The sequence below is a fragment of the Homo sapiens genome, chromosome 1 (assembly GCF_000001405.40).
Source record: "Homo sapiens chromosome 1, GRCh38.p14 Primary Assembly".
NCBI classification, from domain to species: domain Eukaryota; kingdom Metazoa; phylum Chordata; class Mammalia; order Primates; family Hominidae; genus Homo; species Homo sapiens.
This window is the reverse complement of record NC_000001.11, coordinates 29672929-29697163: the sequence shown is the minus strand read 5'-3', so window position 1 is coordinate 29697163 and position 24235 is coordinate 29672929. Positions and strand designations below refer to the sequence as shown.

The 24235-nt window shown below is 50.0% G+C and overlaps 1 long non-coding RNA gene across 3 annotated transcripts in view, besides 1 other annotated feature; it reads right to left on the bottom strand.

Moving 5' to 3' along the window:
- Positions 7315-7814: an enhancer, noted in NCBI's record as "H3K4me1 hESC enhancer chr1:30162197-30162696 (GRCh37/hg19 assembly coordinates)". NCBI's record gives its function as "activates a minimal SCP1, AML or CMV promoter by ChIP-STARR-seq in naive H9 embryonic stem cells {active_cell/tissue: H9 hESC(naive)}" and the evidence as "EXISTENCE:reporter gene assay evidence [ECO:0000049][PMID:30033119]".
- The window catches only part of LOC107984934 (uncharacterized), an 84718-nt gene continuing 68349 nt past the window's right edge, over positions 7867-24235 (bottom strand). Inside the window, exons 2-5 of one of the 3 annotated variants that reach the window (XR_001737957.1) lie at positions 17979-18045; positions 17143-17294; positions 10665-10855; positions 7867-8775 (exon numbers count right to left, since the gene is read on the bottom strand). This is a non-coding gene — a long non-coding RNA (uncharacterized LOC107984934). Of the gene's footprint in view, positions 10856-17142; positions 17295-17978; positions 18046-24235 lie in introns of all 3 variants that reach the window. The other 2 variants (XR_001737956.1, XR_001737958.2) reach the window with 2 other exon arrangements.

Sequence of the window (24235 nt, the reverse complement as noted above, 5' to 3'; positions counted from 1 at the left end):
CCCCAGACGGAAAGGTCCAGGAGGCAGCGTGGCCTGTCCGGCTCCGCACTGCATGGGCAGCACTTAGGACATGTGGGTACTTCAGAGTCCCTGATAAAGACCATGGCTCAGGAAGAGCTTCCACAGGAGACGGTGGTGATCTGGACATGGACAGCGGGTAGACCCATGGATGTGGATGAACTCACACAGAAGGACAAGAGAGGAGGGCCCTGGGGAGAACCAGGGGTGCCCATGCCAGCTTCACCACGGCTGGGTCTGCAAAGCTGACTTGCCTCCTAGCTGCAGGTGCGGGACAAGGAGAGGTGGAAGGGAGAGAGCTGGGCCGGCCGCCATCCCCTTCCATGCCCTGACCCTGCCCACTTGTTACACTTGTTATGTGGCCCAGTTAGTGTCCTCCTCTGTCCAATCAGATCCACACCTCTCCTTCTTTGGGGAGCATGAAGGGGTCTTAGAAGGACACAGAGGTGGGTCTGGCATGAGGCAAAGGGAGGACATTTCCTCCCCGACAATAATGGTCAGACTGCTGACTGCTGGAACGGTCATTTCAACAGTCTGCTGGGAATCCAGAGGCAAAGGACGTTCATTTCCACTGGCAGGTGAAGCAAACCTCATGGAAGGTCTGCCTTTGACTTTCGCCTTGAAACTGGTGTAAGAGTTCCATAGACAAAGAAGGGGATCAGTAGGGAGGGTGGGAGGCACAGAAGACAACAAGCTGAGGGTGTGTGCAGGGCACAAGTCAGAAATGCTGAAAGGTCCTGGTGTGCTTGGAACAAAGGGTGCAGCAGATAAGGCTGGAATCAGAAAAAGAGAACCCAAGAGAAGTAGCAAGGGCCTGTGGGGGACAGAGACGTAAGGTTTGAAGTGGAAAGAGGGACAGAGATAAATGTCACTCATGGCTGGGACAAGCTTCACTGATGGAGGGATGGGTTTAGAATGTGAATCATGAAATCACACAGCATTAGAATTCCGAGGAGCCTTAGATGAGAATAACAAAATCATCATTTCTTAAAGCCTTAGAATCTTAGGGAATCTTATAATCTTAGGATAATTGAATCATTGGATCTCAGAGTCTTCAGTTTTTAAAACGACAGCAATTTTGCATGTTAGATTGCTCAAGGGTGTCACACCCAGCCCCTCCTCCTCCTGGGTATGATAATATGTACCCTGTGCTCAGCGCTTTGCACACATTATGTCCTTTTGTCTCCATGACAACCCTGGGAAGTAGCAATTATTATTTTGCCTGATTTTCCAGATGAAGACACCACGACTCAGTGAGGGTAAGTGGGTTGCAGAAGGTCAGACACCTTGTAGGCAGAGTGGCCAGGACTTGGCCCAGAACTCTGGGCCTCCGAAGCCCATGCTCTCAGCCTCTCTGCTGTTTGCCTTCTGCAAGCCCTCTCTGCTGAGTGCTCACCCATCCTCTGTGCACACCTCCAGTGACGGGGAGCTCATTACCCTCCCCAGGGGCACCTATCCATCCCAACTTGGAGCACAGTTCTTCTTCTCAGGACATCCACCCGTCGGCCCCAAATCTGCCCTAGGAAACTTCACCCAGGACTCCTGTAGGGAGAGGGAGCAGCTACCTGAAGTGGGGCAGCAACTACACAGAAGAGGAGTGTTGGATGAGGAAAGCCCCAGATGTAGCCCATCCCTGAAATATGAGGGAGTTTATCCCAAGGGAGGGAAGCCAACTGGAGACATTGGGAGCAGGCCCACTGGAAGACAAATAAGAACAAAGCCCAGAACATCAGGCGATGGGGGTGAGGGATGCATTTATAATTCAGAAATACAATGCTCCAGCAGTCAGAGTTATGGGGCCTAATGAGATTGGAATAGTAAGTGCTGTACCTTTAATTTCTTGGCTTTTCTCCCTGGAAACTTATTCTGCAAAATGTGCCTTGTGCCATCCATCCTCCCAGATGGCTTTTTAAGTGAAGCTGTTTGTTAAGTGAGAGAAGAAAAGGGATGGGAGGGGGAGGAGCAGATGGAGCCACTGCAGCCCCCTGCAATCCTGGGGAGGAGAGGAAGTGGGAACAGCAAGTGGGAGGGTGGGCAGGGGGAGTCCCTGTGGTCCTGCAGAGCACGGTCTTCCAGGATGGGACTCTCAGGTACAGCTGAGTCCACGTAATCAGGGTCCCAGTGACAGTTGCTGACAGTGACTGGGCCCTAGTGTGAGCACTGGGTGAGCAATTTGGAGTCACTGGTCCCATACATCCTCCCACATCCCTAGGCAGCAGGTACCGTGACAGTCCTCAGTCCCCAGAGGAGAAGCTCAGAGAGTTGTAGGCATTTTCCCAAGGTCACACAGCTGGTGAGAGGCTGACTGGGGACTGGAGCCCAAGGCTGCCAGACTCCAGAGTCCTAGCTCTTAACCAGGATGTCACTCAGTGTCTCAGACTGTCAGCTGGAAGGGCCTTAAAGATCAGCCCCACCGAGGCCCCCAAGTCATCAATTTCTCCATCTGTACGGTGAGCTGGTTAGTGTAGCTCAGTGGTTCCCATGCCTGATTATGCATCAGAATCTCTGGGGACTTTTCAGCAATAAAAATAATACAGTTAGAGTCTTTTGTCATAGTCTGCATCACATCTTGAGATTCCCCTGACCTCCTAAATGATTTTAGGAGTCTGACAGCCCTGGGCTCCAATCCCCAGTCAGCCTCTCACCAGGCTGTGTGACCCTGGGCAAGTGCCTGCACCTCTCTGAGCTTCTCCTCTGGGGACTGAGGACGGTCACTGTACCTGCTGCCTGGGGATGTAGGAGGATGTATGGGACCAGTGATTCCAAAGTGCTCACCTGGTGCTCACACTGGGGCCCAGTCACTGTTAGTAACTGTCACTGGGACGCTGGTTATGTGAACTCAGCTGTGCCTGGGCCCTACCTCTGGCTGATGGAGTCAGAATCTCTGGGAATGGAGCCCAGGTATCCACATTTTTTTAAAATGTGCCACCCCAAACAATACGATCTGTTGGAGAGAATATGGAGCAACAGGAACTCTCATTCGTTGCTGGTGTGAATACAAAGTGGCACAGCCACTTGGAAGACAATTGGAAGTTTCTTACGAAGCTAAACATAGCCTTACCATACGATCCAGCAATCACACTCCCAGGTATTTACACAACTGATTTGAAAACTTACGAACACATAAGAACCTGCATGTGAATGCTTATAGAAGCTTTATTCATAATTGCTGAGAGCTGAAAGCAAGCAAGGTATCCTTCAATAGGTGAAAGGAGAAATAAACTGTGGTACATCCATACAATGAAGTATTATTCAGTAACAAAAAGAGATGAGCAGTCAAGTCATGCAAAAAGGTGGGTGAATCTAAATGCCTGTTCCTTCGGGAAAGAAGCCCATTTGAAAAGGTTATATTTCTATGACATTCTGGGGAAAAAGGGAAAAATTACAAAGCTAATCAACAGATCAGTCATTGCCAGGGGTTTGAGAAGTGGGAAAGGTTGAAGTGAAGTACAGTAATTTTGTAGAGTAGTGGAACTATTATGTATAATACTATAATGGTGGATAAATGGTACTATGTATTTGTCAAAATCCATAGAATTTTACAGCAGAGTGAACCTTGACATGAACCATAACACACTCAATGCAAATTTTTAAAAAATCATTTAGAAGGTCAGAAGAATCCCAGGATGTGATGCAGACACAATAGAATCTAATTGTATCACAAATGCACGAAACAACATCACTGAGGAAGGAGAGATAACAGGTGCTGACCTGTGTAACTCTGAAAATGAGTGGAGCCTATATCACTAAGAACTGCACATAAGCACTGTGCTTTAGTTAATAAGTCATTTCCCAGGGGGAAACAATTCTGAAATCACGATACATGTAGACTAAGAGTGAACAATTAAGTGCAAGGATGGCAGATGGTGGGAGCCAAGATTCTCATAGCAAAGTGGGAGGTTACAGGCAAACAAGAGGCGGCAGCTAGAATGATCCATGTGGTAATGGATCAGAGTTGGAGACTTCAGTATGAACTCGTGTAACTGAATATGCATCAGATGTTTATATATATATGCATATTTATATTTATTTATAAATACTGTATATGTATGAAAATAAATACTGTATATGTATGCATGCGTTAGTGTACAGAAGTATATTTCCTTGCTCTGTTAGCTGAGAGGGCTTAGAAGCAATGACACCCCCATAGCAATGAGCACAGTTAATGCCCAAATCTTGGTTTCTAATATCTTTCTCCAATAAGAAAAATGGCTGATGCTAGGACTGGGCAGGAAATAAACAAGATGGGCCTGGCACACCTTTTAGTGCCAGAAAATAAGGATGTATTCAAAAAGAAAAAAACAATTCACAATGATGGGGGTATATCAAAGGAATACAGGAACCAGTTGAAAGTGTTCTCAAGAGCCAAAGCTGGAAGAATTCGAGCAAAAAAAGAAAACTGGTATTGAATTATAACCACAGTATCAAATAAATATACATGAATTCATACTAAAATGATTAGATAATAGATGATAGATAGATAGATAGATAGATAGATAGATAGATAGATAGATAGATAGAGGTGGAGGGCAGATAGATTCCCTTGCAGAAGAATTCCAAATAAAGCATGTAGAATCTGTGATGCCACCTCTCTCATACCCGATATTGGTAACTTGTGTTTTCTTTTCTATTCCCTGATCAGTGTGGCTACAGGTTTATCAATTTTATTGATCTTCCCAAAGAGCCAGCTTTGGTTTCATTGATTTCCTCTATTGCTCTTCTCCACTGATTTCTACTCTGTTACTTTTTTCTTTTCTGCTACCTACATCAGATTTAATTTGTTCTTCTGTTTCTAGTTTCTTAAGGTGGAAGCTGAGGTCATTGATTTCAGACCTTTCTTCTTTTCTAATGCAAGCATTTAATACCATAAATTTCCCCTAAGAACTGCTTTGCAGCATCCTACAAATTTTGATATGCTGTGTTTTCTTTTTCAGTTAAAAATATATATATATACTTTCTACTTCCTCTTTTGATTTCTTATTTTAGCACATGGGTTATTTAGAAGTATACTATTTGGTTTCAAAATATTTGGAGATCTTTCAGAGATCTTTCTGTTACTAATTTCTAATTTAATTCTGTTGTGGTCAGAGAGCATACTTTGTATGACTTGACTCCTTACATTTATTGAGATTTGTTTTATAACCCAGAGCATGGTCTATCTTGGCCTATTTAGATATGCACCTGAAAAGAATGTATACTTTGCTATTGCAGGGTGGAGCGTCCTGTAAATGTCAATTAGGTCAAGTTGGTTGATAGTGTGGATCAAGTCCTCTCTATCCTTTATGACTTTCTATCTACTTGTTTACCAATTACTGAGAGAGGGGTGTTGAAATCTCTGACTACAACTGTGGATTTGTCTGTTTCTCCTTGCAGTCCTATCAGTTTTTGTGTCGTATATTTTGAAGTGCTGTTATTAGGTGCGTAAACGTTTAGGATTGTTATCTTCTCTTGATGAATTGACATGATGGCCTTCTTTATCTCTGGTAATATTGTTTGCTCTGAAACCTACTTCATCTGATATGACTATAGCCACTCCAGCTGTCTTTGCCAGACATTGTGAATTTTACCTTGTTGAGTGCTGGGGTTTTTTTTTTCTCTATATTCCCGAGCTTTGTTCTTGTCATAGTACATTTTGCGCTGCTGTAACAGAATACCTGAGACTGGGCAATTTATAACAAACAGAGATTTATTTCTTACAGTTCTGGAGGCTGGAAATTCCAAAGTCAACGAGCCACATCTTCAGGGGGCCTCCTTACTGCATCATCCCATGGCAGAAAGCGAGAAGGTGAGAAAGGATGAGAGGGAGAGCAAGAGATCGAACTCGCAGCCCCAAGCCCTTTATAACTGGCATTAATCCATTCATGAAGCAGAAAGCCTCATGCCCAACTGAACTCTTAAAAGCCCCACCTCTCAGCACGGCCACACTGGGAATGATGTTTCCTACATGTGAGCTTTGGGGGACACATTTAAACCCCAGCAGTTCTGTAATGCAGTTAAGTTGCCTGAAAACAGTGGGATCCTTTTGGGTCTTGCTTTTAAGGTTTTTTTAAGGTGAGACCAGGGCACCTCTCAGTCTAGAATTCCTTTTTCCCCAGGTGGAGGCAAGACCCTCCTGCGTACTCTCCAGCATTCTCGCTCTCTCTCTATGCGGCTCTCTCCGCTCTGGCACTGCGTGTGCAAGATCCAGCCACCCTGATCTTCTGCAATCTCAGCTCCATCTCCTCAGCTCCAGGACCTCCCTGGGTTCCGCTGGGTCCTTCTTCCCCACCTCACGACCTGGAAGTGCTCTCAGGGCCGTAAGCCAGGGAAGTTGCAAGCCTCCTTTCACTTGCTTCTCATCTCTCCTTCATTGCCTCATGCCCAGTGTCTTGGAAACCACTGTTTTCACCGATTTTGTCTGTTTTTCATCACCTCGGGAGGAAGCGTGAATCCAATCCCTGTCACTCCATCCTGACTGGAAGAGGAAATCTCTGCAGCTGGGGTTGAAAACCACGGAGCTACACCAACGACTTCACTGTTCAAATGGGGAAACTGAGGCTTGCACAAGATCACACAGCAGACCTTCATCACCCCATCTGTGGGATTCTCATCAGAGCCCCACGGTGATTTCTTGAGTTGACAATCACCAGAGAGCATGGAGGAAACAGAAATTGCCCTCAGCACACTTCTGTGCCAACCCAGAGTGAGGGCTAGGATGGAGCCTGTCTCCCTCGGTAGCTCGCAGTCCTGTGCATCTTCCTCCCCTCTTCCTCTGGCCTCAGCAAAGCCCAGCCCGAGGGGGTCACCTGGCACCTCGACTGCAGATGGCGTCTCCAGCCTCCCAGCCGTGTCTGGGGACTGTGCCCAGGAAATAATTGTCAATTGTAAAGGAGAAGGGAGAATTAAGAGCTGGAGTGAGGAATGGTGCTGCAGACAGGGATGCTGCAGGAAAACGCCAAGCCAGCTTCCCCCGGAGGAAGCCCAATTCCAGCCCATCATTAGGTTCTCCCAGCTTTCACATTTAAAAATCTAGATCTAAACCAGATACAGAAAACTGATTTCCTTCCTCACTTTCCTTCTCCTCCCCTTGCCTTTTCCGTCCAGGTGCCTGGTGGATGTGTCTGGGTCTTTAGCAGCCCTCAGATGAGGGGAAAGCAAGAACTTCTCAAACTACCGCTAGAAAATGACGATGCGGGAGAGGCATCCATCCCACCCACTGGGGCAAAGTGTGGCCATAAGCTGTCAAGGGGGAGGGAGATGGGAGAACACCAAAGCCTGGCTCTTGCTGGCTGGGCCCAGGGCCCTCAGAGCTCCCCATCCATCCCTCAAGCCCGCTCCTCCCTGGGGTTTCCTATCCCAGAAACGTCCTGCCATCCCCACCAGGGTCCCAGACTGGGAAGCCAAGAGATACCTCCTCTCCTTTATCTCTCCCCCACAGTAAAAGTTAGTCCTGCCCTGTTCCTTCACCAAATGTACCAAGTGCCCACTGAATGCCCACCCTTCTCCAGGGACACAGCGATGACGGAAGCAGACCCATCCCTGTCCCCGTGGAGCTCAGCTCCAGCAGGAGAGACAGGACAGGGAAGCTCCAGGTGATGAGGCGCAGCTGTGCCAAGGGTGCCACCTGGTGTCGTGGGAGCTGTAACGCCGGAGGGGGGAGGGGAGGCCCCAGCAGGAGGGCTGGGAGGGCAAAGGCCCCGGGTGGGCACAGCTGGGGATGGGTGGGGTCTTTGCATTGTTAGGCCCCAGCTTCCCAGCTCTGAGCAACAGAGTCTCTGGCATTACAGCTGCCCCCTGCCCTAGCTTCACAGTAGGTCCAGGGCCTCTCCAGTGGACTCACACCTGACTGGACTCTGTGACCCCATTTCTACCTCTAAAATAGTTAATTCGTTGCTCCAGGATGGCCCCACTCACCAGTGGGGATGGCCCTCCCCACAATGGGGACCGGCCCCGCCCATACAAGGCTGTTCTCTGATGGCCTCCTTCCCTTGGCCCACCCTCTCCTACGGCCCAACATCCTCCTGAGAGCCCAGCCTGCCCCCTACTTTGGCCATTGAAGGGCTCTTGAGGACCCCCGGAGACCAGCTCGTTGGTGACATTGTGTGCAAGAGCAGCACGGCTGGTCCTCCAGTGAGAGGCTGCAGGCATCTCTCCAGACCTCTTTGAGAACAAAGATCTCAACTTCTACGTCTCAACCAGGAACCAAGGTGGAAGGGTTTCCTACCCCTTCCCCAGCAGAAAACGGCTTTTGCTCCAGCCCCTCCCCCAGAGACAACAGATCTTTGTCTGAGCCTCCAGGGTAGAAGGTTTTTCCTGCCCCAGGGAAGTGGTTTGAGGCTTTTGCTTCCGATAAGAGAAGGGTCTGGGAAGTGGGAGGGTTTTCATGTCCCTGTGCCCTTGAGAGGTGGCTGACTCAGATCCCTGTCCTGTCCCGTCTTTGTCCTGAGCTTTACCGGAAGCAGCTGATGAAGGAACGTGAACTCCTTTTAAGTGTGGGGGCTCCTGGGATGGCTCAGCTGTAAAGCCTTTGCACACTCAGCCTTTAAGAATTCATTGCAGTGTTAGCTGTCTGTTATGGCAGCCCACTCTCCCTCCAGGGTTCTGCCAGAGGTGCAGGAGTGGGTGGTTCTGTCTTTCTCAGAAGATCTTGTCATCCTTTAGGTTTCAGTTCAGTTGGCTGCCTTGCGACTCCAGCTCTCTGAAGGGCTCAAGAAAAGTTATGACTCTGTAGATTATCTGGCCTTTTTTCTCATTTTGTCTCATGTGTCTTTTCATATCCTAAGTAGAAACAGAAATTCATGCGAGAACCAAAAAAGTAAACAGAATGTTAGGAAGCTTAAGCAAATGTTGGAGGCAGCATAATGATGTGGCAGCTTCTTCCTGTAGAAAGGTCACTTTTTCATTTCAGAATTCAATAAATATTTGTTGAGCACGTATTATATGCCAGTCACTGTTCCAGACATTGGATGCATTGGAGGCAGAGAGACCAAGTGGGAGGCTGTTGGAGTAGATTGATAAACAAAGGCCCAGAGAGGGAGATAGAATATACCCAGGTCACACAGTGAGAGAGCACAGAGTTGGGATGGGAACCCAGCTTCTTTGACTCCATGCCCAGGGCTGCCCTGCCTTTCATCATGAGGTTTGCTGGAAGCCTCTGAAGATAATCTAATTATCACCCTGCTGGGAAACAAGAGCCATGGGCCAGAGCTCTGTGCCTCCAAAAGACGATGAAATTCAATTTGGGGCCTGAGAAATTCATGAAGACTAAATAAAAAGGGAACAATTGAGCTGGTAAATGTGTGGTGAGACAGGCATTCTCATGCAGTGCTGGAAACCTTTTTGGAAGACAACTAAGTAGGAACGCTCTTGAGCCTCAGCAATGTCAGTGCTCTGATGCACTGATTCCACCTCCAGGAATTTGTCCTAGAGATGCTTATTGCAGCCTGATAATAACAGTGAAAAGCTGGAAACTGTAATGCCCTGTCTATCCAACCAGAAAGAATGAAAAAGTCAATTATGAAGCATCTCAATGAGGGACCATTATGAAGCTATTAACATCCCGTTTTTGAGGAACTTTTTAATGATGTGAGAAAATGCTCACAACAGAATGGTAAGCAAAAAAAAAAAAAAAAAAAAAGAGAGAGACAGGTGAATACAGTAAGATCTCAATGACAAAATATATCGTATATAAACATCTACAATACATGCCTATAGAAAAGCTAGATAATCCTACTGACAACAGCAATAAGGAGACAGAAAAGCTGTTGGTTGAGCCCTGGCTTTGTGTCAACTATTGTGCAAAGGGCTTGCCACGCATTCGTTAGTTCTTTTAATGCTAAATGGACATACATGGAAGAAAAGGAGGCACAGAGAAGTTCATTGACAAGTCCAATGTCACAAAGCTGAGTCCAAGCTAAGATTTGAACTCAGGTCTGGAAGACTCCTCTCTCTACTGTGAACCTTTAAGGCTGAGGAGAGGGGCAGGCAGGGTCTTGGACTGACCCACTGCCCCCAGCCCCTGGAGAATTCATTCACTATCTCTTGGGAGCCTACTGAGACTCTCTCAATTGTCCTGACTAACTGAGGTCCAGATCCCCCTGACCCCCATCTCCCACCCCCAAGCTGGTCCATGCCTTTCCTCTCCATTGGGCTACATCTCCCTCCACCCCAACACACACATAATCCTCTGCATTAATCACATATTTCCCCGGTGGACCATGCTGACAGCTGGGAGGTGCATGGAGATGGACAGCCCCGTGACTGTCTCACAACCTGGGAGGTGCGTGGAGATGGATGGCCCCGTGACTGTCTCACAACCTGGGAGGTGCGTGGAGATGGACGGCCCCGTGACTGTCTCAGAACCTGGAAGATGCGTGGAGATGGACAACTCTGTGACTGTCTCACGGCCTGGGAGGTGCATGGAGCTGGACGGCCCTGTGACTGTCTGATGGCCCAAGCCCTGCTCATTAGTGCAGCTTACACATCCATCACCTTCAGCGAAAGACAAACACCAGCGCAGGAGGATCCGGGAACTATCACTCAAGGGGTCCTTAAATAGAGGGGGTAAAGAGAAACTAGCTTCTTCCCTGATTTTTTGATAAATTTTTCTTTAATGCATCAGTCTCTAGTGTCCCTGCCCAGCCTGGGCTGCCTGAGCCACTCCTCACCTAGCCTGGGGCAATCAGGAAATACACCGCCTGTCTGCTCACTCGCACGTGGAGAGCAATCTCATGAGGCCCCCTGGATTTTATCCTCCCCTCCCTGAATGTGCAGATATCTCATCCACCTCTTGTTTTGATGGATCTAGATGTTCTGATCCGAAATGTGGTGCAGCAGCTGAGCAGAGGAGTGAAGCTTCCTGGAAGGAGGAGGAGAGAAGGGATTAATTCCGCCACACTTACCATTCTCACCCCAGCTCATCCTGCCCTGCCCAGCCAGCCCTCTGCACCGCCTGCACCTCCCTTCTGTGGGGTCCCGAAATGGCAGCTATACTGTGGGCATGCCGGTGTGTTGGTCACCGGCATCAAGCTGCCCAGACCTCTTTCCCAGAAGGATCTCAGATCCAGCCAGGCCCCCGTTATTATAGATCTCAGCCTACACCATAGGCATAGGTGCAAGCAGAGAGGACTTTAATTAATTTTGTGTGTGTGTGTGTGTGTGTGTGTGTGCGTGTGTGTTCTCCTTTACAAAGCATTTTCCTATCCATTCTCCACATCTCTGCAAGGCCAGGAGATTTATTAGCCCCACTTTATAGATGAGGAAAGTGAGGCACAGACAGGTAAGATGTTTACCACTTGAAGTTACCCAGCTAGTTAAGTCATGGCCATTGGACTCCAACTCGCGTTTGACTGATACAAAGTCACTGGGTTCCCTGGGTCACAAGGGCTTCTTGAGATGCAGACACTGAGATGGAGTTGGGGACATGAGTGGAGATGCTTATTAGGGATGGACAGAAAGGGGAAAGGAAGGAAGGAGGGGCCAGAGGGGAGGAAGTCAGCCTGGTCCACAGCCAGAAGGTAAGTAGCTTGAGTCAGCTGTCAGAATTGCCCAGCGCAGGGCAAAACTGGCTGGGCATTTCCACCCTGTCTTGCTCAGCCCCTGAGTGTGTGCTCCCAGGAAGGGAGCCCCTGCAGCAGAGCTAACAGAAGGAGGCCCTCTGTGGACTGCACTCTCGGAGCTGGGAGCAAGCCTTTCCTTGATGGTGCCTCTGGGTGTGCGTCTCCTTGTCTACTACTCACACAGGCTAAAAGTTCAAGTGCAAGAGAGTGAGTAGGTCCCTACTCTTTCGAGCACAAGAGCGGGATAGGAAGGATAAACTGTCAGGGCATCCAAGTGGGCCCCTCCTCATCTGTCACAGCACTCCCCTGGTGCTGCTCACATTCATTTCTCCATGCAGGGAACTCTTAGGGATCACCAGGTTCTGCACACATTCCTCCCTGCCCCCACTGCACTGCAGCAGCCCCCCACCTCCTGCTGATCAGACTCCATTACCCTCACCAAGACTGCGACCTCGTCTTCTTGCTTTTCTAGTCCCTGGGTACAAGGAGCCCAAATACCCAGGCAGCCACCATGGCAAACAAGCTAGAGACTCTTACTGTGTTCCCTGGAACATGCAGGTCCCCCTTGGGGACCAGGATGTCCAGCCTTGCAGAGCCCAGAGTCGCAGGGATGGGAGTCACTAAGTCTGGCAGTGGTTCACTAGGAGAATAGTAAGTGGGGCCACTTTGGCTCCTACCTGTTTTTCTTAAGTCCATGTACTCTTCTTATTGGGGAGCAACCCTTATATAGGGCTTTGATTAGATGCATATACTGCATCCTGAAGGATGGAACCTTGTGCTCACAGGGTATTTCCTCCAAGCTGGCGCTCTGGCTGGGCCCTCAGCAGGCCCCTCCCACACTCTGTAAGGTGGGCAGCGGCTGGGTGGTATGGTATGTGATATAAACATGGGCCCTTCGTTGTGAGTCTGTGCCTGCACCTACTCTACAGTAAAGTGGGTCCCCTGGTCTGACACACTATTATGTGGGATCCTGTGCCAGTGGATCGAACAATCCATCAACCCCGGGGTAGGAGTGCCGGCTGAGACCCTGCAGGCAGGAAAGACAAACCCCTCCCAGGAATGGATGGTTGTTCCTCTGAGATTAGACTGCTGTGCCTTCCACGTGGAAGAGCCCAGTGTAATGGAGTTGACTTGTCAGTTGGCCTCCGTGAGGCCTGGTGCCATCGCAGGGACTTAGCCATGGTTCCGCTGCTGGCATGTTGGTTTCCAGAAGCAGCAGCGGGAGATCAGCCTGGAAAAGCAGGAGCCATGCTGCTGTGCCCGTGCACAGCCTCCACCCCCATCATGCCAACACTGAGGTGGCTGAGGGCAGCTGTGCCTGTGCACAGCCTCCACCCCCATCATGCCAACACTGGGGTGGCTGAGGGCAGAGAAGGATGCCAACCAGTTGGATCACCTACTTGGTTGTTTCGTGTTGCCCCCGCCTGCCTTGGGGAATGCTCTCAGGTGACCATGAACCTGTGACACAAAGATTTGAGCACTTACTGTACTAGGTGCTGAGCTGTGAGCTTTACATCTGTTAGTTCATTTATTATAACATAGGAGCTCTCACCATCCCCATTTTATAGATGGGGAAACTGAGGCACAGAAAGGATCAAGTATCTTGTCCAAGGCTACTCGGCTAGGGACTGGAAGAGCCAGGGTTCACATGCAGGCATCTGGCTCCACAGAGCTTCTCTGAACACCCAGAATGGGTCCTGGTCCTGTTCTCTCCTCCAGGAAGTGCCTCTGACCCACTCCTCCTCAGAAGACAAAAATGCACAAAGGGTAGGAAGAGGGCTCATCACTGATTCTGCATGCCCTCCACCTTAAAGAGCCACCATGAAGACCCAGGCACCCAGAGGTAAGACTGGCACTAATCCAGCCTTCTGGGGCAGATCCATTGCAGCTGGGAGTGCGTGCAGCGTAGCCTTGTGGAATACGTTCACTGAGCATCTACTATGTGCCAGCCCCTGTGCCTGGGATTTCTTGGTGGACAAAAGCAGACCCTCCCCTACCTGTGAGGGTTCACAGTGGGAGTGCAGATCAAGTTTTAAGTGACACTCATGGTAGGTCTTATCAAACAAAGCAGATGGAGCTATCAGGGCCTATAATGGGGGCGCTGATCTGGCTGGGGAGTCAGAAAAGACTTCCCGGAGGAGGAGACACTGGAGCAGACCAGAAACCTGGAAATGCACTCCTCGGAATATTGTGAATGGGACTGGAATGCCAGTTGGGTGTCTGGGCTGAATGATGGTTAAGATCTCCAAATCCTAAAAGCCTATGATTCTGACTTATTATTTCCTGGTTCTAAGATTTTATTGACTGAAGACCTTAAGACTTGGAGATGTAAGATTCTGGTAGCCGAGAACCATGGGGTTCTCAGGTGCTGAGATTCTCACGCACAAGCCTTTGCTGCTGGAGAAGCACCACACAGAAGCTGCCAAGGGCCAGGAGCTGGCTTTCCCTCTTCCTGGGCCCCCAGCCAGGCCCATAACAGGATGTCTATGCAGCTCTTTGTCACTTAGAGAATGTAAATTTATTCTGCATTTCCAGCGCCAGGCACTCACCTTATCTGCATGTAACAGTCACCAGAATAAATATTAGAAGACAGGTCTGTGGAGATCTTCTGTGTGTACATGAGTTAAATCCTCCAGCCAGTTAATCCAGGCAGGGATTTCAACAGAAATGCTATTCTTATATTAATTACAAGGAGGAGCTGGTAACTGGGGCTCTGTTCCATTTGAGGAGGGGCTGCTGTCTCCTGCTGGAGGGATGGAGAAGGGGCCTTTGTGTGCCGAGGCTGAGGGACTGAGTGGGTGGGGAGAGGGAGAGCATCTGTCAGCAGTGTGGTTGCAGGTGGGGCTGTTTTCCACCCAGTATCCGGGGCCCTCAGCGTGAACTCTCGCCTGGGCTCACTCAGCGCTGGGGCTATAGAAGCTTCCCCAGTGGGGTCAGAGGGAGCAGGGCAGCCTTGCCACGGGTCACACACTGCACTGGGCACTGGCTGGGCTCCAAAGTCACATAGATAGACCAGATCTTGGCTCCCCCACTCAGCAGCTCAGCCATATGACCTTGAAGAAGCCACGTCACCTCCCTGGGGCTCAGCTTCTTCAACATGATCCACAGTCCTATCCACCCACCTGCCTGGTGGTTCCAAGGATGGGAGGAAAACACCAGGCATCAGGCACCTCATGAGCATTCATCCCAGCAACAGCCCTCATGACACTTGTGGGCAGCCAGGCACTGCTGGAAACGCTGCACAGGGGTTAGTCCTCGCCCCAGCCCAGTGAGGGGGTGCTGTCATTATCCCCACCCACAGATGAGGAAACTGAGGCACGAGGAAGTTAAGTGACTAACCCAATATCACAGAGGCAAAAAATGAGGAGGCAGGATTTACAATCAGTTGACTCCAAGGTAAGTGAACTTCTATATTACATTTAAATTTTTCCAACAACCCTTGGCGGGGGTGATTAGATGTTGACACTTTCAGTACTGGCTCCCTCCATCTGGCCCTCATTCTGTTTTTTGTTTTTTTTTTTTTTTTTTTTTTTGAGACGGAGTCTCACTCTGTCACCCAGGCTGGAGTACAGTGGCACAATCTCGGCTCACTGCAACCTCCAACTGCTGGGTTCAAGCGATTCTCCTGCCTCAGCCTCCTGAGTAGCTCAGATTACAGGCATGCGCCACCACGCCCGGCTAATTTTTTTTTTTTTTATTTTTAGTAGAGACGGGGTTTCACCATGTTGGCCAGGCTGATTTCAAACTCTTGACCTCAAGCGATCCACCTGCCTCAGCCTCCCAGCCTGCCGGGATTACAGGCGTGAGCCACCTCACCCGACCCCTCATTCTCTTTTCTCTGGTGCTCTGGTTATTTCCGGGCAACAGTGACATTCAGTCCCTGCCTCCAGGCCTTTGTTCATGCCGTGCTTTCTCTCTGGAACACCCTTGCCCCTGCCTGTCCATCCAGGAAACTCCTACTCACACTTCAAGACCCAGGCCAGGCATCATGTTCTCCATGGGCAGCCCCCACCCCACCTGTCCCTGCACCTGGCACATCCTCCATCGTAGCACTTAGCAGGGGGGTCGGGCAGGGGAGAGGGGACAGGATTCTGTCCTCAGGACCTGCCTCCCCTCTCTGTTCACCCACCCCTTCCTTCCACCAACATTCACTGAGTTTGGCTTCTGTCCAAAGACTCACATTCAGGGAGGAATGACCAGCCTCATGAAATTGGCATTACTGTCCCCTTTTTAGAAAATCTCCCACTCAGGTTTTGTAATTCCTGAGACCACAGGCCCCACTAGAAGGGAGCAGTCTGGGAACTCTGATCCCAGCAACCCAGGAACTCTGACCCCACTCCAGGCTGCCAAGGTCACCTTGGGGAGTTAATGGGGGAGCTCAGAGGCTGTAAGAGTGCCCCCTCCCCTCATCCACATCAGCTCCTCCTTCCTGCAGCTGTGCGTGCAGGAAACGCTCCTCCTCTGTGTCGCACACCGTAACACCATTGCCATTCAATCAGAGTCGCGTTAATTAAATATGAATTGATTGTAAGAGCAGTGCTTGAGATGTAGAAGTGATACACTTAGGCACCAGGTAATTAACTCAAAACAACAGGCAATAAGCATGGAGCCAGGTTAATACAACAACCTGGCAGACATCATTTAGATTCTTTTTACCCCTTGACTTTGAGGCTCAGTAGTAGCTGCCAAGTTCTTATCGATCAGCAATTCGTTAAAAAATTTATGACAAGTTAAAACTAATTGGCCACAGTGAGGGGTGAGTTTGACCCAGGCCAAGGCTCTGTGGCCTGGCTGAGGCGAGACTGGAATGGAGAAAGCAGTGTGGGCCGGGCACAGTGGCTCACGCCTGTAATCCCAGCACTTTGGGAGGCCGAGGCGGGCAGACCACCCGAGGTCGGGAATTCGAGACCAGCCTGACCAACATGACGAAACCCCATCTGTAGTAAAAGTACAAAAAAATTAGCCAGGTGTGGGTGGTGACACATGTCTTAATCCCAGCTACTCATGACACTGAGACAGGAGAATTGCTTGAACCCAGGAGACGGAGGTTGCAGTGAGCCGAGATCACTCCATTGCACTCCAACCTGGACAACAAGAGCGAAACTCCACACACACACACACACACAAAAAAAAATCCGTGTGAAGGAAGCACCAGCCACGTCAGCCACGTGGACACCTCTGGGTCTGCTCCTGGGGACAGACCATCCTGTTTAGTGGGCCTGAGATGCTCTCCTCCCCATTCAGCCCCTCCCAGGACCACCTCCCATCCAGGGAGCACTCAGGTAGCCCCAACAACTCAGAGCAAGCACACAGCCTGTGTGTGAAGTGGGACAGGACAACTGAGACAGCAAACCACCCCTGCGGCGGGCCAGGGGGCCTATGCTCCCTGCAGGGTCTCAGCCTGGGACGCACAACTGCTGGGATTTTCTTAGCCTTTAAACTGTCAGGAAGAATGCAAAATTGAGATGTGCAGGAATAAGGGAGCCAGGCTCCTCTGGGCTGCACTGGTTTGAACTTGCAGAGGTGCCCAAGGGCCCCTGGCCAGCAGCTCAGGCTGTTGGGCTCTCCCACCCCTCCACCCACTCACCCTGCAGGGTCTGAAACAGGGTGAAGGGGACAGGCCTCCCAAGTCCAGAGACAGGAGATGGAGGGCAGGCCCGTCCAAAAGCAGCTCTCCCTGCTCCAGTCCTGAAGTGGAACATCGACCTGGTTCTTTAGGTTCGAGACCTCTTGGCTTTTCTGGGGTAAATGAAAAATCAAGTAATGAAATTGTCAGCTGCATAGCAAGTAGAAAAGACAAAACCAAAAAGAAGAGAAGGAGGGAAAGAGGGTGGCAAAATATAATGCACAGTGACAGTGAATTACTGCACACTCTCCCCTGGGAAGGTGGGAGTCTCAGAAGAGGAGCGAGGCTGGGGTGGGTTGGGGGTGGTCCTAGGCCAAGCCTCCACTTTCCCATCTGCACAATGGGCAAATGACATCCCCTTCAGTGGCTGTGAGATTAGAGGTGATAGGAACAAATTGACCCGACCAGCTCCTGGCTGGAAAAGATGCCTGAGTGTGACGGGTATTATTCTCGCCAGAGGCCAAGAATGCAGCCTTGCTCTGGGGGGTCCCCAGCCAGGGGGAGAGCTGGTTGGTCACAGGGTCTAAGAGGGAGGGGATGTCTCATGAGCACTTCCAAGCACCTCTTCATTCCGTCCCCCTTATACCTAGAAGTTTCCCTTCCCCCAGCCCTACACTCATCCTACAGATGGGGAAACTGAGGCTCTGAGGGTGGTGCAGCCCAGAGGCTGAAACATGGAATCTGGGGTCCAGTGGACCTGGGTTGGCACCACTTACGCCTATGGGACCTGGACGGATGACTCAACCTGTCAGTACCTATTTGCTCATCTGCAAAATGAGGCTGTTCTTGAGACTTACCTTGTAAGGCTGTTGTGTTGGATGAAACTCTGTACTGTCAATGTTTATGGATGACTTGGCACTGTGCCTGCCACATAGGAAAGTCAGTTACAATAATGATCATACAATATAATTATAATAGATAATATAATGATAAAATAATATAATAATGATAATGATAGCAATAATAATTATGACTAAAGTGATTCGGCCTCACTTTGGATCCCTGGCCTGTTTCGGGGGGTAAACCTGACACCCGAGGTGACTGCCTCAGCCACTTTTATTCGTGTGTCTCCTGCCCTGCCATGGCTTTCAGGAATCTCAGATCTTGGTGCCATGTCCTCAAGGCCATTCCATTTCCTTTCCTCAGAAGAATGATCAGTTTTGCCCAATATTTACGTGTACCCAAGTTTGTCGTTGATGGAAAATCATTTTCCGCATCTCCCACACAAATTCCTTGCCAAGGGTATCTCACGCTTGAGTATCAGGAACTGAACCATTTCACTTAGAGACATGCAGGCTTAAGGAAATGTTTAAAAATGTCTTTTAAAAATGTTGCTTAAAGGTATGGCTTTTTGTTTCTTTTATTTAAAAAACTGTGAATAAATCATTGATTTGTCTCACTAGGGAGTTGACATTTTGCACATTTAAAAAGGTTAGTTTAGAAAATCTGACAATGTGACCAGGCGTGGTGGTTCATGCCCGTAATCCCAGCACTTTGGGAGGCCAAGGTGGGCAGATCACGAGGTCAGGAGTTCGAGACCAGCCTGGCCAACATGACAAAACCCCATCTCTACTAAAAATTCAAAAATTAGCCAGGCGTGGTGGCAGGCGCCTGCAATCCCAGCTACTCAGGAGGCTGAGGCAGGAGAATCGCTCGAACCCAGGAGGTGGAGGTTGCAGTGAGCCGAGATTGTGCCATTGCACTCCAGCCTGGGTGACAAGAGCAAGACTCCATCTCAAAAAAAAAAAAGAAAGAAAGAAAGAAAGAAAGAAAGAAAGAAAGAAAGAAAGAAAGAAAGAAAGAAAGAAAGAAAGAAAGAAAATCTGACAATGCTGATTTCTAACGTTTCTTTATTTAGTGCTTACTATGCCCACTGCTGCTTTTACGTGGGGCACCCCGTGGAGAGTGGAGTGGAAAAGGCTCCTGCTCCCAAAAGATGACATCTTCATATGGGGGGGACTGGTCATAGGGATAGAAATAGAGATAGAGCTTCCTATGCAAGGGAGGATCATGGAATAAGAGGGACTGGAAGCACTGAAAGGGGACCTAAGTGGCTGCAGAGGGTGACCAATAGGGATGTGGCAGGGCTATGCCTCCTGTGGCCTGGAAGGTCCCAGTCAGGGACCCAGTCTAGTGGGCAGCCACTGAGGGGAAACACCCAAAGACCAGATGACCCTGGTCTCAGAGGTGGGGACAATTCTTGTGGGGAACAAGAGGATGGTCCAGACCTTCTCGGCAGTGATATTAACTTGCCATCAAACCCAGACCCCAAAGCCAAGAACAATGGCTCCATCCTCTCCCACTCAGACAGGGGCCACCCATGAGACTCACTCTCCTTAGGGTGCTTCAGGCCACCAGAACCTACTCCCAGGATTGACAATGTCATCCATGCGTGAAACAGGGAAACGCAAATTGACAAGGCAAATTGATGAGCCCAGGATGTGGGGGCCCGTGGTATTTCTGCTGGTGTTGGTATGTTCTCCAGGGATTCCAATGCGTGTCTGAATTAGAAGGGTGGCGCTCCAACATCGCAGTGCCTCTGCAGGATGATATATTACCCAGATGGCAGAGGAATGGAGCAGACACGTGTGCAGGCTCACACCTCCTAACGCCGGGTGCAGATGCTCAGGAAAGCCCAGCCAATTCTGCAAAAGTTCACTGCTGGATCACAGCCAGTTTTCAATGCATTTCCCAAACTGGGATCAAGGAACCCTCGTTCGGAAGGTGTTAACCATTGGCAACATTATACAGACCGATGATATTGGCTGCCATGACCTCAGGTTGAAGTCTATCCATGGGCCCCAGTCAGCACCGGGGAAACCCTCATTCGCAGGCCCCTCCAGAATCTGAGAAGTCCCCGAGGGAGGCCTTTGCTCCACGGGCTTAATCTCTTTTCTTTTCTTTTTTTTTTTGAAACGGAGTTTTGCTCTTGTTGCCAAGGCTGGAGTGCAGTGGCACAATCTCGGCTCACTGCAACCTCCGCCTCCCGGGTTCAAGCGATACTCCTGCCTCAGCCTCTCCAGTAGCTGGGACTACAGGTTCCCACCACCATGCCTGGCTGATTTTTTGTATTTTGAGTAGAGATGGGGTTTCACCATGTTGGCTAGGCTGGTCTCAAACTCCTGACCTCAGGTGATCCACTCGCCTCGGCCTCCCAAATTGCTGGGATTACAGGCATGAGCCACCATGCCTGGCCATGGGCTTAATTTCATCATGTTCCTCCCCAGTCCTCACTGTGTAAGGCAGGGCAGACAGAGCATCGGATATGAGTCAGGAGATGGAGTCCAGGTCCCTGTTGTTACCAACTCACTGTGTGACCTTAGGCAGGTCACGTCCCCACTCAGGGCCCTCATTTTCTTAACTGTACCATCAAGGGGTTGAACCAAATGATCTGCCTAGTTCCTCCCTGCTCTGATGGTCCAAGACTCTACCATTCTATACAGGACAGTTTGGCCCAGATATGTGGAAACAAAGGATCCAGGGTCTATCAATGAGGATCTCTATGTGGGAGGTGAGATGGGATAAAACAACACCACCCAGACTATGAACCATAATCAGAAACGAAAAAGACACAACCTCATGCTGGTCACCACTGACCTGACAGAGGATATTTTAGTTCCCAGAGTGACTCAACCCAGATGATATGCCCAGATGATAAAAATGTAGCCCTTCCTCTAATCCATGGAGTTTAGGATTAACTGACCTGATGAAAAGGAATGAAGTCCCATTGATGGGACATCCTCGGGAAGGTGAAGGGGGAGACAGCCTGGACAGTAGTGCTAGGAATGGGGGGAGGATACAAATAACAGTAGAGATACTAGCAGCTAACATGTATCATGAACCTACTGTGTGCCAGCCTCCTTCTCAGTGCTCTCTGTAAAGCAGCGGCTGAGGGCCCAACACACAGGGGTGTCTATGACGCTTAGATTGATTAATCCAGCAGCCATCCGTGAGGTGTATTTTTGATACTGCTGAAAAGGCGCCTCCTCTCATATCTGCCATGTGCAGCCTGGCTCCCACCACACTTCTAAGAATGAGATGAGAAGACAAACGAATGAGGATCCCCAGGTCCCCAGTCACAGCAGCGCTTACAAATCCCTGCCCAGGGTGAGCGCCAAGGTCAGGCATTGTCTTTACATCCTGAGCACAGCCGTAACAGATTACATCCTGCCCGCATATTTCTGTCCTTCTCAGGCACCACTGGGGCCCCAGCAGTGACAACTGTTCTGCTCCATCAAAGCTCAGCTGTTTTCACAGGGACTTTAAATAACTCCCTCTGCTGCCAAGAAATCTGTGCACTGTGAATAGACATTCGAGGGAGGTTCAGGGCCTGGCTGTTGTTGGACAATGACCATGAAGCTCCCACTCTGTCCTTTGCCCTCTGGGAAGCCAGTTTCCAATGACTCAGCGGATCCACCATGGAGTGTGATGTGGTTTGGATTTAGCTCCCATCCAAATCTCATGTGGAATTGGAGGAGGGGCCTGGTGGGAGGTGACTGCATCATGGGGCAGATATCCCCCTTGCTGTTCTTGTGATAGTGAATGAGTTCTCACAAGATCTGACGGTTTAAAAGTATGGCACTTCCCCCTTCACTCTCTCTCTTCTGCTCCACCATGGTAAGACGTGCCTGCTTCCCCTTCACCTTCCGCCATGATTGTTAAGTTCCCTGAAGCCTCCCCAGCCATGTTTCTGTACAGCCTGTGGAACTGTAAGTCAATTAAACCTCTTTTCTTCATAAATACCCAGTCCCACAGAGTCCCAGGCCATGTGCAGGACCCTGGGCTCAGAGACAAAAAGATCACTCACGTTCCTATGCTTGAGAGGTCATAGTCAGATGGCAGAGGCAGGCCTGCCAGCAACACACACCACCCACCCGCAAAACACCAGACGAGAAGTCACAGCAATGGCTGCCATTCCATGAGCACCTGCTGTCAACAGCTGTACTCAGTCAGTGCCTACTGTATGCCAGCCCGAGGCCAGGAGAGTCACAGGTGTTGTCACTACCTTCACAACAACCCTTCCTGCTACAAGGTCAGTTTAATCATTCCCATTTTATAGATGAGGATACAGAGGCTCAGAGAAGTTGGGTCTCACAGCCAGGGAGCAGCTGAGCCATCGCTTGCTCTGTGGGCCCAGCAGCATCAGGACAGCTCTGCCCACCCTCACCCCTCAGATGGAGGCCGGGTCAGCTGGGGTGGACTGAAGGCAGGTATGGTCACCTGAGCCAGGTAGTCAGAGTGCAGAGGTGGTGCCAGATTGCAGGTGCATCATCTCCTTCTGATTGTGGAAGTTCCTCAGTGTGCCCACATAAGTCCAGTTGAGTTTGGCCATCCCAGCCCAGCTGCCAAGCAAGAGCCAGGGATCAAACCCACTTTGTGCATTGCCCTCCTTCTCCGTCCACCCCATCTCTCCCCATTCTTTATCCAGGTAGTGAGGCAGGCACTGAACGTATATCTGGCTCCAAGGGTGAGCATGTATCTGAGGGCTGACTGATCAGCAATATCCTCTGTCTGGCTGTAGTGATTGGCTCAGAACTGGGCACATGACCCAAGATGGTCCAATCAGAATTAGAACTGACATGTTTCTCTGGAAAATTTAGATGTATCTAAGTCAGTACACACCAGAGCTGCTAGTGGTTATCGTGAAATGAGCCTGCCTGAGAATAAAACCTACATAAAAGTCTGAAAAATGGAGGTGTGTGCATGTGCAAGCACATGTGTGCACGTGTGTACATGTGTGTTCATGTATGTATGTGCACATGCAGCCTGCTCACACTGAATATGAGCCCTGGGAAGGGAGAGAGCATCTTCTCTTTTGCTCCACTCTCTCCTTGGTACTGGAACATTGCCTGACACAAAGCCATTGCAATTTCTTAAGCCCCAGGTCAAGATAGGCCTGAAACCAGCAGCCCCCAAGACTTCTCTGAGCCAATACACTCTTTTCCTATCTAAGCCAGTTTGAGTTAAGGTCTATCTACTCAATGAGTCCTACTCCTGCATGATAGCTCCCCAGCCCCACACACCTGGAGAAGCACATGCCTGGTGCACAGGAGGTGCTAAGTGAACAAAGAAGTGAATGACTCGGCCATTCTCCTTCCTCAGCACCTCAGCTCTCTCCACTTTCCTGAGAGATAGCTCCACCTCCTGAGCTGCCTGGCATCTCTCCAGGGGAGCAGAGATCCCAGGATTCCCCACATCCTGCTAGGGAGATGGATGTCTGGACATGTGTCACCAGGTGGGCCCCAGGATGCCCAGGAGGGCCAGGCACTCTGCAGAGAACCGTGAGAGCAGGTCTCTCAGGAGGGGAGCTGGACACAGAGTGGCTGGAATGTCATCCCTCACATTCCCACTGGCCACTGGGCTTTAACAAAACCATACCTTAATTTCTACCACCACAGAATGTATGTATGCATTCATAAACTCAAATATAACATTTTACATGGAGGAAATGGAGACCCAGAGAAGTCAAGTATCTTACCCAAGGTCACACAGCTCAAGATGGCAGAGATGGCTCAAACCCAAGCCTCTGTCACTAAGGTCCATGCTCCTGCCCACCCCAGACTGCCCTGCAGAGCTTTGGGGAGGAGTTAGGAATGGAAGAGGGCAGCATGGGCTGGAGGCATCAGGGAGGGCTTGCTGGGGGAGGGGGAGCCTAAGCTGAGCCCTGAAGGACACTGGAGGAGAAGTGCAAGCAGTTTGCTGTTGCCAGATCTTTAGGCCTCTGGGTCTGGAATTCTCCATGAGATATTTCTGGCCTTCTTGGGGCAGGCTTCCCAGGACCCTCTCTCCAGAGCAAGTGGAGCTGCGTCCAGGCCCGGGTGGGAGGCAGCTCCCAGGTAGTGGGTGGCAGGCCAGGTGGACCAGGAATGTCCTGTTTACTTGGTTTGGGGCCCAGGTGTGCCTGGATGGGAGCGAGGATGGCTGAGCCCTTGCCCATCTGCTGTGAGGGGAACGATGGTCTCACAAGCGCCTCTGATGAGGCCGTTAGACCACATTTCATCAGCCAGTCAGCCCCACCAGCCACACCGATAATCCCTGCAAAGTGTCTCATCAG